General features: G+C 40.2%; 1 protein-coding gene across 11 annotated transcripts in view, besides 1 other annotated feature; it reads right to left on the bottom strand.

Annotated features, from left to right (window-relative positions):
• BTBD3 (BTB domain containing 3) overlaps positions 1–15179 on the bottom strand; it is a 35779-nt gene extending 20600 nt beyond the window's left edge. For 6 of the 11 annotated variants that reach the window (NM_001395005.1, NM_001395004.1, NM_001395003.1 and 3 more), the window contains exon 1: positions 15042–15179. The gene's annotated coding sequence lies outside the window, so the exon portion shown is untranslated. Of the gene's footprint in view, positions 1–5559; positions 13504–14903; positions 14993–15041 lie in introns of those variants that run through there. The other 5 variants (NM_001395006.1, NM_001395007.1, XM_047440013.1 and 2 more) reach the window with 3 other exon arrangements.
• Positions 15054–15253: a silencer, noted in NCBI's record as "silent region_12676". NCBI's record gives its function as "represses an Ori minimal core promoter by ATAC-STARR-seq in GM12878 lymphoblastoid cells {active_cell/tissue: GM12878}" and the evidence as "EXISTENCE:reporter gene assay evidence [ECO:0000049][PMID:35858748]".

Below are 15860 nucleotides of genomic sequence, written 5' to 3'. Positions count from 1 at the left end.
GTGAGGTAAATTCATTCCATGTGTGCCTGTTGTTCAATGTGTATATGACTTAAAAGTATGAAGCCTTTTAAGCAGTTCTGACTTGCACTGGTTAAGAAAGTAAGTAGAACAAGTGACCAAATCTCTCTGCAACCTCCCAGCAACATCTGCTAGTGGTGATGCAGAACAAAGGCCACAATGGAAGGGATCATTTGCTCCTAACAGAAAAGGCAAGAGTTTCACCAGGAACTAAAAAAGATAAAAATGGCTCCATAGTCTGGCTCTGTAACTTTTATTACTATTGATGCTGCTGGTTTCTAAGCCATCTGAAGGTCACTCCAGTGACTAAGCAAAAGTGAACAGTGCCAAAGGAGCAGTAAAGTCACCTTACTTTTCCGCAGTCCTCCTCACCCACACCTGAATGATGGGGGATTTATTTACGCATAGCGGTAAAACGGCCTGGCTAAGTGCAAAATAGCTATTGTGCATTCCCCTTTGCTATAATCAATGTATTGTTTCATGGGGAATCTCTGGGAGATGCAATAGTAAAAATTATTGATTTTATTAAACTTCAGCTGTTGAGTAAACACTTTTAAAATATTCTACGTCATGAAATTGGGAAGTATGCACAAAGCATTTCTGGTCAAATTGAAATAGAATGGTTTCCTTGAGAAAAAACACGTGTACAACTATTTGTGTTACAAGTCAAACCAGCAGCTTTTTTCTTGAAATGCCATTGTTACTTGACAGAAGCAGCAAAGTATGCTTATTCAGACTAAGGTATCTGGCAGACATTTTCTCAAAAATGAATGAAGTGAGCCTGTCACTGCAAGGAAAACTGACAGTATTTATTGCTGATAATAAAATTCAAGGCTTCAAGCAAAAATTAGAATTTGGAAACCTTGATTACACCACCATGAGCCTGACAGCTTCCCAATACTCAAAAGACTGTTCTTATAAGAGCAGTGATATTAAATGAACATGATTTTTGATACTGTATAATGAAATGTGTCAACACTTGAAAGATTTGCATAACTCAGTGAACCAACCTTTTCTAATAAGAATGCAATTACAATACAAAATCATGCATTGGTAAAAGATCCAAAGTACAATGGTCGACCAATGGATTTAAAGTATAACAAGAGTACAAAACGTTCATCGATATGGTTTTAGATTCCACATGGCAATTAACCTTTAAGAAACTACTACTTATGAAGCTTTGGTGAGGTATCAAATATCCACAATCATCTGAAAATGCTATTAAAATATTCTTTTCCAGCTATACATCTGTTTGAGGCCAGATTTTCTTCATATGCTTCAATGAAAACAATTATTTTTAAATAAATACTTAATTTTTTAAATTTTGACAAAAGTATATTAATAGATATGACCCCTATAAACAAGTTTTCTGGGCTTTTGAAAATAATTAAGAGTATAAAAAGGTCCCAAAACCAAAACGTATGAGAAAAGCTGATGCCCAGCTTCATAAGAAGTTTGGATTTTATCGTAAGCGTAATTGTAAGCCTCTAGAGGCTTTTGATATGGTTTGGATTTGTGTCCCCATCCACATTTCATGATGAATTGTAATCCCCAATGTTGAGGGAGGGACCTGGTGGGAGGTGACTGGATCATAGGGGTGGATTTCCACCTTGATAGTGAGTAAGTTCTCATGAGATCTGGTTGTTTGAAAGTGCATAACACTTGCCCCTTTGCTTGCTCTCTCCTGCCAGCGCGTGAAGATGTACTTGCTTCCCCTTTACTTTCTGCCATGATTCTATGTTTCCTGAGCACCACCCCCAGCCATGCTTCCTGTAGAGCCTGCAGAACTGTGAGCCAATTAAACCTCTTTTCTTTATAAATTAAACAGTCTCAGGTAGCTGCTTTACAGCAGTGTTAGAACGGACTCATACAGCTATTAACAAAAAAAATTCTTAATGAACTATATACAAGATCAGGGCCAACTTTTTACACATACCTACTTTTTCCCTTTCATTCTCCTAGAAAACAGTAACTAATTCTCAGAGCACAAATCTCAACCATTCACTCCAAAATATATTTTTGCACATTGTAGACAGAATGAAGGATACAAGAGACAATCTCTGCCACAAAAATTAAGAGCGGTGGCTCACACCTGTAATCCCAGCATTTTGGGAGGCCAAGGCAGGCAGATCACCTGAGGTCAGGAGTTTGAAACCAGCCTGGCCAATATGACGAAACGCTGTCTCTACTAAAAATACAAAAAATTAGCTGGGCATGGTGGCGGGCACCTGTAATCCCAGCTACTCCGGACGCTGAAGCAGAAGAATCACTTGAACCAGGGAGGTGGAGGTTGCAGTGAGCCGAGATCATGCCACTGCATACAGCCTGGGCAACAAGAGCGAAACTCCGCCTCAAAAAAAAAAAATTAAGAACAGTCAAAGAGCTAATCTTCCATCTGTTCAATGGCACTGTTTGGCATCTCGTCAATACCCCAACCTCAGAAAATTCACAGAATTTAGGGTGCAAAATCATATTAATTGACATCCTCTTTGAAGACATTAAGAAAAAAATTGTAAATGAGCTTTGAGGTAGACAAGTATCCCTACAAACTTCACATAAACCAGCAAGAAAACAAACATCTCTCTCTGAAAATCTGCTTTCTCCTACATCACATTTCCTTAGGAGAATTGGGGGTAGCAATCTTTGGTGTTCTCCTAAAGCAAGCATGGCTGCCAATGTTTAAGATAATTTGTTAACTTTTTTCTTTCATTTAAAGAGAGATATATCAGGCAGAATATGACTCTTCCTACAGTGCCATTTTAATATTGTATCTACAGAGTATGGCATTTGATACCATAAAATATCGAAATCTTCCTATATACTAAATAGAAGAAAACAGTTTGTTGGAAATAAAGTTTAGGTTAGGACTTTGTAAAAGTCCAAAAGAAATACTTAATCTAAATAACATTTTATTTAAAAATACAGGTAACCCTTGAACGCTATGGGTTTGAACTGCTCTGGTCCACTTATATCTAGATTTTTTTCAATAACTATATTGGAAAATTAGTTGGAGATTTGTGTAACAATTAAAAAAAACAGATGAACTGCACAGCCTAGATATATTGAAATTTTTTTAAGTTTTGTATTTCATTAATGGGTAAAACATGTAGCTGTGAGTCTATTTTATCATTTACTACCATAAAACATACACACATCTATGAGAGTTACCAAAATTTATGCACACAAACACATACTGACTGTATATAGTGCCATTCCCAGTCCAGAGAAATGTAAACAAATGTAAAAATGCAGTATTAAATCATAAAGGCATAAAATTAACTGTAGTACATACTATTCTACTGTAATAATTTCATAGCCATCTCCTGTTATTCCTGTGGTGAACTCAAGTGTTGCCAGTATCTGCCTAAAGTGCCATATGATGCTAATCATCTCAGCATGAGCACTTTCTCTCCCCAATATATTGCTTATGGCAGTAAAATGTGATCTCTGGTGGTTCTTGTGCATTTCTCATCATGTTTAGTGCAATACAGTAAACCACGAATAACATCATGAGACCCATACAAAGTGCCATTAGTGATGCTAGAAGTGCTTCCGAGAAGCATAGAAAAGACACTACAAGAAAAAAGTTGAATTGCTTGATATGTACTGTAGATTGAGGTCTGTAGCTGTGGTCACCCACCATTTCAGACAGATGATTCATCTTGTAAACAGATGATGTAAACTTACAATATTGATGAATACAGTACATTTCTATAAATGTATTTTCACTTCCTTATGATTTTCATAATATATTATTTTCCCTAGTTTATTGTAAGAATGTAGTATATAATATATACGACACACAAAATATGCGTTTACTGACTGTTTATGTTCTCAATAAAGCTTCTGGTCAACAGTAAGCTATTAGTTAAGTTTTTGTGAGTCAAAAGTTACACATGGATTTTCAACTGTGCGGGGTGGGAGGTTGGTGGGGTGGGGGCAGGCATCAGTGCCTCTTTATGCTCAAGTTGTTCAAGGGTCTAGTCTTTTACTAGAGCTAGCATCCAAACACCTTCCCATCTTCACTCTTAAAAAAATTTTAAGAGGTTGTACATTTTAGTAGGATTCTGATCCTCACAACTACTTCACACTCAGTAACTATATAATACTATAGAAACACTGTAAAATCAAAATATAGGTTGTCCTTATCTTGAGCATCTCATTTTCCTATAAGCCAAACCGAACACCATTATATATTGACATCCCTAACCCACACCCACCTAGTCAAATCCATCACTGCCTGGTGATGATTTTGAGTATATGCTAGGAGATATTTGCTAGCTAAGAGTTCAGAACTGATTCTGACATTTTGGGGGGATCACTTATAAGAGAAAGTAGCTAATAAAGTAATAAAACATTTCAAGTACGCGTGAGCTGATCCCACAGAAATACTTATTGAATGGTATTAAATTAACTAGACAATCTACTAATTTAAATAAATAAATTACACAGCATTTATTAAGTAGGTGCTGAAATCATCTTGGGGAAGGGTAAGGAAGTCCACCATGAGAGACTGACTGCGACTGCATAGGGATCAAAAGTGACTGCACATGTGCACGCTCCCTCCACTGTTGACCACTTTCAGTAACAGCTCACTCTCCAACAGATGATCTTCAGCTTCAAGCACTTATTCATCCTGTCTCCCAAGGCCACAAAAGATGGTGAACAAAAAAACCACAGGAAGAGACAGAGCACTCTGGAATGCACCTCCACCCAACACTGATGTCTAAGTGGTAGAGCGGGGAGGTGCTGTGCAAGAGAATGCTACCAACAGTTCCCTGTAGCCTGAACCTGCATCCTGAGCAGAAGGAGGGACTTTTGTAGCTTCTCACCATTTTTTTCTATTGAAAATAAGATTTTGGGAAAAGTCACCTGATATAACCTCAATTAAGAATTGTACCAATTTCCAGGTTTTCTAGGAATATAGATCATTCTCCAACAACACATTAAATTTGTAGATGGACTTTGGCCGGGTGCGGTGGCTCAAGCCTGTAATCCCAGCACTTTGGGAGGCTGAGGCAGGCAGATCACGAGGTCAGGATATCGAGACCATCCTGGCTAACATGGTGAAACCCCATCTCTACTAAAAATACAAAAACAAAATTAGCTGGGCATGGTGGCGGGCACCTATAGTCCCAGCTACTCGGGAGGCTGAGGCGGGAGAAAGGCGTGAACCCAGAAGGCAGAGCTTGCAGTGAGTCGAGATGTCGCCGCTGCACTCCAGCCTGGGCGACAGAGCCACACTCTGTCTCAAAAAAAAAAAAAAAAAAAGTAGGTGGACTTTATTATATTTGACTTTTTGCTACATTCTCCATGAACAAAGGTATGAAAATAGGTGGCAGTCTACATTAGAAGTCCTTCTCTATCCACAGAGACCTAAAGTACAACATCATAGCAGAGGGCCAAAATTAGTCCCTCACTATAGAGTATGTTTGCTGGTGATGGGTAGGCAAGACCGCCACTTTCAAAAAAAACAGATTAGTAGAAGAAATTAGGTGGCATTAAAAGACAAAAACTCTCACAAAGGCAACAAATACTTACAAGAGTCTCCAAAGCAGGTGTAGAACTTTAAACGAGATGTGTTTTCCAACTGGGCTGTCCATTAATGGCCTAAACTGAGGGCAATGTGATTTATCATCAGAAAGATACATAGGTCAATTTTTTCCATTCAGCCTTGGCCAATAGTACTGAATATTTAGGGTTCAATATAAAATGAATTTGTAACAGCACTATTTTCAAAAGAATGAGTCTTCACGACAACAAAAAGTAGATCTAATCAGAGTTGCAAAGGCAAGGGAAATTTATCAGGTAGAACAGATGCATTCAAAGCAATGGAACTTGTGACATTTTATTTCCAATGTGCATGGTAATCACCGCTAAAATGTTTACACCTAATTAAATATGGGGAATGCTCTTACTTATATAGCATCATAGAAAAATTAAGGAGAGATCAAATATACACAAGGAGCTAGGTATATTTTGAATTATTTTGACAGTAGAGTTGAAGAAAATTTTCACATTTTTGTGTATAGGTAACAGCTATTGGGCTTATCCATTTCTAAACACACATACATCATGGTTTTTATTTATTGTGTATTCTTCAGTTGCATAAACCATCTCTAAAATAATCATCTTTTTTTTCTTGCAAATCACAGCACTTGCTTGCACAGTAAATTGCAACAGTAAAAATCTACAAATGTTTCTTGCTCTATTAAGAAAGAGGAGGAAAGTGAGTCTGATGTTTTTGAGATATTCTTGGATTTGAAGGACACAAAAGGAGCCTAGAAACACAATAAGCAAAACTTTAAAATGACTGCTTGGTAAGTGCAGCAAACCACCATGGCACACATTTACCTATGTAACAAATCTTCATGTCCTGCACATGTATCCTGGAAGTAAAAATAAAATACAATTAGAAAAAAAAAGAAAAGAAAAGAATGCAAATACTTTAAGGGTCTGAGACATGAGGAGCCATGGAAAATAAAGGGAAGTGTCCAAGAGATCAAATACAGTGCTCATCCACTTCTCAGATTTGTGTGACGACTAGAGGGGGCATAATAATTATTTAATATAATTCATATGAAAAAATAAAAATCAGGTATTTTAAAAACAATAAAATAAAATGACTGCTATAAGGATTGCTGTAGGGATGACTACAACATTCTCTTGTCTGGAAAACAGAAGGTAAAGGACTGAGATCCTTTGATTTTGTGGATTTAGTAAAAGGTTCAATTACGTGCATCCAAGTGGCTCTGAGGATTTCAAAATCACCTTAGAAGTTATTTCAGCAAGAACCTCATAGGAAAAAAGACTAGAAGGGGCCATGAAAGATGTCCCAAACAGCAAGAAGGCATTAAAAGGGGGAGAGCAAATAGTTATCACCCACATTAAGGGACAAATATTTGCAGACTGGTTAAAGAACAAAATATAGTAACAGTATATCACTGATATTTACCAGGGAACCCAGGTATGTTTTGAAAAGCTCCCAGGTGATGCCACACCTACTCTTGATTAAAAACTGAAATATAAAGAGAGAAGATTCTAGAATACAATTCACATCATTCAGATGTGAATCAGGGCACTTGGCCAGGCTTTTTTGTCAGTTAAGTGACCTGGTCCTATCCATTAGTACTTTACAGAGAGCACCCTATTTAATTCTCATAACCACTCTCTGTATTATTATCTCCATTATAAACTATAAATGTTCTTGAACTTCTCCCTTGCTGGTGGGATAAGTCAACGTTAGATCCACAAATGCTAAAACACTATGCATGTGTTGCTTTATGGGAAATTCACTGAAAAAAAAATTGGAGAAGGCAGACTACATTCATTCATTCAAAAAATATTTACTGAGCATCTTCTATGTGCTAGGCACTCAGGACACATTAATAAACATACTCGACCTCAAGGAATTTATAGTCTAGCAGAGGTAGGAAAGAGAGGCAATTCACAAAATAGACAAATAAATAGTAACTTAGAAGGTAACAGATGCAACGGAAAAATAAAATGCAGAGCACTGCAAGAGACATACAGGATGCAGATTGCAATTGTAACTAGAGTAATCGCACAGACAAAATGCTATTTTAGTGAAGACCTGAAAGAGGTGGCTGGGGGGGTAGGATAAATATTATAGGCAGAGGAAAAAGTCCAGTGCAAAGACCTAAAATGGAAATGTGCCTGCCACGTTCAAGGATTAGCAAGGAGGTAAGGAAGGCTGGAATGGAAAGTGCCGAGTGGGAGACAAGCGGGAGAAGAGGTCAGTTAGTGAGAATCAGATCATGTAGGGCTTTTTAATTTTTATTTATTTATTTATTTGTAGACAGAATCTCACTCTGTCCCCCAGGCTGGAATGCAATGGCACGATCTCGGCTCACTGCATGCAACCTCCGCCTTCCAGGTTCAAGAGATTCTCCTGCCTCAGCCTCCCAAGTACCTGGAATTACAGGTGCATGCCATCACGTCTGGCTAATTTTTGTATTTTTAGTAGACATAAGGTTTCACCATGTTGGCCGGGCTGGTCTTCAACTGCTGACCTCAAGTGATCTGCCCACCCCAGCCTACCAAAGTGCTGGATTACAGGCGTGAACCACCATGCCCGGCCCAGATCATGTAAGGTTTTATGAATCATAAGAACACTGGCCTTTATTCTGAGTGACATGGAAGCCACTGGAGGGTTTTAAGCACAATTTGACTTATGTTTTTAAAAGATCACTCTGATGTTAAGCAGATGGAAAATCAAAGAGAAGCCAGGGAAGGAAAAGGAGACCAGTGATCTGTTAGGAGGCCATGGGCCACGGCAATACTCCAGGCAAGAAATGCAGGAGACTTGGACAAAGATGCTGGTAGTACGGATGGGAAAAGTAGTTAAACTGATTCTGGATACATTTTGAAGACAGAACAGCAGGATTTGCTGACAACCTGGAAACAGAGTTGGAGAGAAAGAGAAGAGTCAGGAGGATTCCATGTTCTTTTTTTTTTTTTTTTTTTTTTTTTGCTTAAATAACATGAAAAAAATGGAGCTAACACCCACTAGGTTGGTGCAAAAGTAATTTGCCATTAATGCAAAAAACCACAATTACTTTTGCACCAACCTAATAAAATGGGGCAGGCTGCAGATGGAGCAGGTTTGCAGAGAAAGATCAGAAATTTTGTTCTGGCCATATTTAGGCTGAAGCGTCTTTCACATATTCACGTTAAGAAGTCAAAAAAGTAGTTGGAGATGTCTGAGGTGGAAATATACATTTAGGAGTCTTAAGTAGCTACACAGTATTTTATTAAAGCCCTGTGACTATTTGTGACAACAGGCGGGTGAGAACTGAGCCTTGGCACATTCTAAATTCATAGGCTGGTGAGAAGAGAAAACCAACACAAATTTAAAAACAACTGAAAAGAAACCAGAAGGCCAGCGGTATAGAAGGGAAGGCAACAGTGTGTGGTGTCCTCAAGAATCAAATGAAGGAAGAATATTAAAAAAGGAGGAATAACAAATTACATCAAATACTGCCAACAGGTAAAGATGTGACTTGAGTGTCAGCTATAACTTGGAATATTTGCTTGTGAAAAATCCCTAGTGACATCTCCTATACCACCCCAACCAAGACAATATGCTCATGCATTGAATATGTTATACTACATTCTTCCCATGCATTCAATTTCTTTTTCTGAAGAACCATCCATAAGGAAAATTTTGATCCAATTTAATATTTGGGACTCAAATCAGTAGACTCTTCAGAAATACCAGCAGATAAACTGCAGATGCTAATGATCACTTGCTAATATTCAATTCCCATGTCTTAAAAACATAAAATTACCTCTAGGCAACTTGGAAATGAAAGGATAGATTTTCTTTGTCCTGATGAAGAATTATGATAAACCAAAAAGCCAATATTCTACTATTCTTTTCCTTACTAAAATAAAGAACAATAAAAGTGTGTACATTATCACCATTACTATTCGATAATGTTCCAGAAAGATGTTATAACGTTACAGAATGCTAAATCTAGTGCAAACCGCCACAGAACCAAAATAAAAGTCATAACTATTTAAAAGTAGATAAAAGTGTCATTATCTGCCACTCATATAACTTGGGAACATACAAAAATAAACTGCAAAGCTTTTCGCATAAGTGCCAGCTATAAAATAAATACACCAAAATCAACCACCATCTTAGACTACCGACAGCCAATTTGAAGAGCCCATCACAAAGTAACAAAAACAAATACCTAAGAAGAACTCTAACAGGAAACATTAGGATTCAGATGAAGAAAACAACTCTGCTGAGAGATAAAAGGTCATGAATAATCTTTCATGACCCTTAAAAGAAACACTGATTACAGATGGCAGTCCTTGCCAACGAAACAAAATGTAACATGATCCGGTATTTTTTTAGTTCTAAGGATTCATCTTCCGAGCCTTCCAGATTAAGACGGTAAATTTAACACACATATCCAATTACACCCTTTCCCTAAACCCCACTTAAGTGACAGTAAGAGATCTTTCTAGAAGACATAGAGACCCAAGGACTTAAAGAACTGTAATGGAAACTACAAATCATGAAAGTGGAAAACAGATGGACAAGTGGCAACTGTCTCAGCCAACTTGAGAGAGGGAATGCTATACCAACAGTGAGAAAAGCCGAGAAGTACTCACTCCAGTCTGCTCAAAGACTGAGGGTAAAAGGGTGACAGGTTAAAATAAGGTCAGTAAAAGCTGCATGAGAAGCTCTAAAATTCCAAGATGCCTTCCCCACCTCCTCACTGTAGACCATTGGCAGACAATCCTAGAACCTAGCAAGACTAGAGATTTGTTCTTGGAAGAGTAGGTAAACAGGTAAGTCTGTATGGTGAACCTTCTCCAACATGACTCTACACAGAGAATGCTGAAACCCCAGCCAGATTCCTCCATGAACACTGGAACCTACACTCTTTCCTCAGTGCAAAACTTTACTGGAAGACCACTCTCTGACCAGCCCAAGAAGACCCTACAAATGGCCCCAGTGAAAAACGCAGGAGAAACAGTAAACAATCCAAAGTAGCTGCCACTGGGGAGGGAGAGTAAGGGATGGGGGGAAGAAGAGGCAGATGAAAGACCATCTATTTTACAATAAGCCTCCTAGACTTTTAAAACTGTGCATGTATTAAATACAATAATCTTTATCTGAAAGGACAAGGGCATAGAATTGTAATGTTAAAAGGATAGTGTGACTTGCTCTGCCAGGTATTTCTAAATATTCTAAATCTATGATTAAAAAGATGTGGCATTGATTAAGACTAGAGGATCAACACACAGAGAAGCAAGACCTAAAACTGAAGCAGACCTCAAAGTTAGTCAAGATCTTAAAAAACAATAAAGACCACAAAGCAAAGAAGAAAGGAGGAACTATTTAACAAATGGTGGTAGAACTCGCTAACTAGGGAAAAGGAAGAGGAGGCAGCGGCGGTATAGGAGCGCTTCATATCCATGTACAATTATAGAATTAAATGTAAAAAGATCTAACATATTTCCAAAATGTTGTTTATCTCACCTTTCAGATAAAGATTATTAAATTTAATATATGCATACAGCTTTAAAGTCTAAAAGCCTTATTGTAAAATAAGTGGTCTTCCTCAACGCCTTAGTCTTCCTCCCCATCCACTTTTGACTGCTTACTGCTTCTCCTGAGTTTTTCACTGGGGCCATTTGCAGGGTCTTTCTGGGCTTTCCAAGCATGAACAAATACAAGGAAAAAATCATAAAGGACAAGGTAGAGACTTGTTTATATAGAAATAAAAATATTTTATTGGTTGAAAAACGCCAAAAAGTGAAAGAAATAATGGCCTGTGGAGAAGAAAAAAAAGAAAACTAAAAACATGATAAACACTCAATCTTCTTTAGATAAAACGGGTATTTAATTTTTTTAAATCACCACTTTAAAGTAGGCAAAGTACCAGAAGAGAGAGCTCCCAAAAAGGAAAACAAAAGAAAAAAAACAGATGATCAATTTCAATAGCTACCAAAAAATAAATTAAAAGATCATATTTTTATAGAAAAATCAGGAAAGATGATGAACACTGGAGTGCTGACACACTACAGGTAGACCATACACTCTGTAAGGGAATGTTATGGCATAAGCAATTTGGCAACAAGCCACAAGAGTCATAAAAGAGTTCACCTCTGCCCCAGGATTTCCACTGCTATAAATCTAACCTGAGTAAATCCGAAATATTTAAACTTTCAGACAAGGGCATTTTTCTCAGCTCCACCTGTGTGTCCACTCTTACGTACTGAGCCTACGTCATTTGGTCGACCCTGCTGGCCTTCCTCTACTTAGTTCATTCCATCTCACCAAAACTCTATGGTGCAGGCACCATGACCCTTATTCCAAGGAAATGCGATTAAAGAGGTAATTAAGGTCACTTAGGAAGTGGCCGTGCTAGGATTGGCAACCAAAGGGTTTAATACTGTATTCTCAAGCCACTAAAACTAAAAATAATACGTAAAACAACAGAAAACTAGTTCAATAAACTTGGGTGTATTCATCATTAAAAATCTTATTTTCAAAGGGTTTACAGAAAAAGGAAACGTCTCTAATATTTACTTCATATTAAATAAAAGTGCAATATTTAAAACTACAGATAAAATTAAAGGCCAATTTTGTTCAAAAGTATGTCTATGCAGACAAACAGAGTAAAATGGAAGCACATCATCTAATTACCAGTTGTTTCTTTTTAGATGATATGACGGTGATTTTTACTTTCTTAATTTTTTTCAGTGATTCCCAAAATGTCTCCCAACAGGAAATATTTTTTTATTTAATTTTTTAAAAGAAACAAAGCAACAACAAATTCTCAACTGTATTTGCTTAATTTGAATAAACAAAGGACATGTCGATAAATGTACATTAATGCACACCTTCAAGGAATTTGAGACTGGACAACTATGCTGAAAGAGATACTAAATTGAAAAGGCTTAAAGGTAATTTTTAAATGTGTGATGAAAGAAGGGAAGATTAAGTGAAAGATTATTATTTTAGCAGCCCAGCATCACTGCTGGAACTACAAGGTCCATCACATGATAGGGGTTTCCACCAGTATTCCTTTCTCACAGTAAATGGGAAAAATTCACCTTACAGGATTTGCTTGATAGCTCAGTTAACAGAAATTTAAACAGCACATAAAATAGATTTTAGTAAGAGAAAACCATTTCAACTCCCAACACAAACTCAAAAATCACTGGAATCCTAAAGGTATTTTGGAATTGACTAAAGTCTGATAACTTACAAAGTTTAAAATATTTTTTAAAAAACACAATTAAAAACAAGTATGTTAAATGACCTATTTCTGTACTATTTTGTTCAGAAGAGTTTTAACAGTTCCTTGCAAGGCAAAATGGAATTAGATGTCTATAGCATACCTGTTTTGAGCATTAAAAAAAAAAATGAACATTTTTTCAAATTGATCTTTGGATGCATGTGTTTGGGCAGGGAAGTAGGAGAATGTGTAGACTAATTGTGCCTTTCCTTTGTTAAAGTATAACATTACAAGCAGTTTAACATTTTGTAAAGAATGTTGGCAGAGTACTTTCTAGGAACAAAACAACTTAAAAGCTAAGCATGGCATTTTTGCCACAAATTATCAAAAGTTTTTCCGCACAGATGTGGAGTTATATTTTTTTTAAATTTTTAAATATAAGATATAACTTAGGGCTTTAGAGAAATAGTGCATACAATTCTTAGGCATGTGCACCTCCAAGAAAACATGCTAAAAAAGGAAAAGAAAACATTGTTTCCACTTCATTTTGGAAGTTTGTTAAACAAGTTATCAGTGCAAGGATTGGGAAAGAATGAGAAATCAAGAAAGAACATGGCTGCTAGTAATTATCATCCCATACAACGGCGTTAATAATCTGTAAGTATCTCAGAAAGAACATCTTGGAACTGCATAAGCTCACCCTTACCTGCTGAGGCCAAGAAATGAAAAAGGGTGATTCAAAAATTCTTCCGAAAAGGAAGAGTCCTGTTCAGAAACCCAAGGGTAAGAGGACCCGCCCACTTCCCCTGGAGGACTCGTTGCTATGGGAACCCGCAGTAACCCTTTAAAGCCAGTAACCTGTGGGGGAGGAAGATCCTCCCTCAGGTTAAAGTTAAAACAGGGGATCTGGCAGAGGGTTGAGTAGGGGACTGAGGTAGGGTTAAAAGAAGGGGAAAGCCCTTGGCTGGGCAGGGAGTCAGTGAAAGCGGGCTTAGTAACCTCAACAGAAATTCAAAACAACACTTAGAACAATTGTTTTGAGTGCTAGAGTCACATTATAGTTCACAAAGTTTGAACCGTTAGAGACGCTTCCCTCCCTCCCTGGTGGGAAACAAACCGCTCTTTGTGAGTTCCTGTCTAGGAAAATGAATTTGAGTTTCATCTCACCAATTACAAACTGAATGCTACTACTATGTGAAACTAAAGCCTTGACTTTCTTATATTAAACCAGTGTTTCCAAACTCGGCTGCGCGATCACCTGGGGATCTTTAAAAAATACACTGTGTTAATTGGTCTGGTGTGCGATTGGGCTTTAAGAGTTTTAAAACTCCCCAGCGACTCCTCTGTGCAGCCAAGTTTGGGGAAACTGTATTACAGGATTTGGCGAGGTGGCGGGGAATATTTAAAAAAGAAAAAGCACCGTGATCTCCCTTGGTCTTTTGAGGACTAATAATAGAATTAGCTCGCTTTCACCAGGCACACACAGGACAATGGGTTGCTTGATAAATAGGGATCCCCAGCAGGCCCGAACAATACTTTCTTTGAAAAGGCCAGGAGGTAAAAGCCTTTTCTTCCCAAGAGAGCAAACATCCTTCTTCCCGAACACCAAACTTGTACGTCTATTTTTAGAGCAAACGGGCCACAAATGCCACTCAGAACTCGGAGGACTAGTCCAGCCTCAGGAGGAAGCCGCCCCCGCCATCGCCCGCCGCCACTCGCTGGGTTCCCGCGGCGCCTGAGGCCGCGCAAACCCGGAGCGTCGGTCCCCGGAGTCCCCGCCGGCAGCGCCTCAGGAAAGTTACTTAGGGGAAGTTTGCTCCGCTTCCCACCGCGCGCCTCCCCGGGAGAGGGGCGCGGCCCCCGCCACCTGCTAGGCGCCGAGGCTTCCCGACCGCGCCCCCTGCCTGGACCTCCGCCACCTCCGGGGTCGCGCACCCCGCGGGCGTCCGCACGGCCAGGCGGGCTCGTGCGCCCCTCCCCGCGGTCTTTCGGCTGAGGCGGCCCTGCCCCTCCGCCCCCGGCACCAGGACCTCCGCGCGGGCCCGACGCGCCCCACTGGGACCCCCCCCCCCTCGGAAAGCCAGCCCGCGCGGCCAGCGCCTCTCGAGCCCGGGGGACGGATATGGGATCCTCTGGTCCCGTGGGTCCGAGGCCGACCTGCGGCCACCAGCCCGGCCTCTCCTCGCTTCGCTCGGCCCCTCCGGCCGGCCGCAGGGCGCGCGCCCCTGCCCGGGCGGTCCCGCGCTGCGCACGCGCGGAGGCGCCGACCCGCTCGCCCGCGGCGCCCTCACTCACCGCCAGCGCTCCTCCTCGCCTCGGGCGACGCAGCCGTCCGCCGCCTTGCCCTGTGCCCGCTCCTCAGGCCCCGGCCGGGGCACTCGGAGATCCAGCGCCCGGCGGGCTCGGCGGGCACCCGCACGCAGGGCACGCTCTGCGGGAGCGAGCGCGCGTGCCCGGTCACCGGGAGGGAGCGGAGCGGCATGGGAGGTGCTCCCGGAGGCGGCCTTGGATACGGGGCATGCGCAATGTCTGCCCTGTCCTCAAGCAGGAGTGAGGGGTGGGCGGGAACCCGGGCTTGGAGAAGGCGGGGAGGGTGGAGGAGAGCCAGCACTCCCGCATCTCTGAGAGGCCACTTCGTCCTTGTCCCACGAACTGCAGTTTTTCTCTCTGGGTCATTCATCAATGAATGTATTAAGCATTTATTGAACACTTGCACTGGCAGAGTGGATGTGCGGGATACAGGGCATCCTCCGGTAATAGAGGGCCGATTGCATTTGGCTTTGGGGCTCCTTTTTAGGCACTGATGCCAGCCCTCTCTCTAACAGATAAGGAGGGTGCATAAATAGAGGTCTCGTAATACCTAACGACTACACTCTTCAGTGATCTGGGGAAGGAGAGTAGCTGCTGGTTGGGTTGATCATGGAAACTTCGTTGAGAAGCGAAAAAGAGGAAAGGTGAACACGAAGGCATAAGTGGCAAAAAAAAAAAAAAAAATCAAACAGCATATGAATCCATGCATCCTGTCGGGGACAAGTTTAATCTGAGTGTATTGTTCTTAGTGAAAGATGAAAACGGCGGCCGGAAAGGTAGTTGAAGCTCATCTGGAAATAATCT

The sequence above is a fragment of the Homo sapiens genome, chromosome 20 (assembly GCF_000001405.40).
Source record: "Homo sapiens chromosome 20, GRCh38.p14 Primary Assembly".
Lineage (NCBI taxonomy): Eukaryota > Metazoa > Chordata > Mammalia > Primates > Hominidae > Homo > Homo sapiens.
This window is presented reverse-complemented; position numbering and strand designations above follow the sequence as displayed.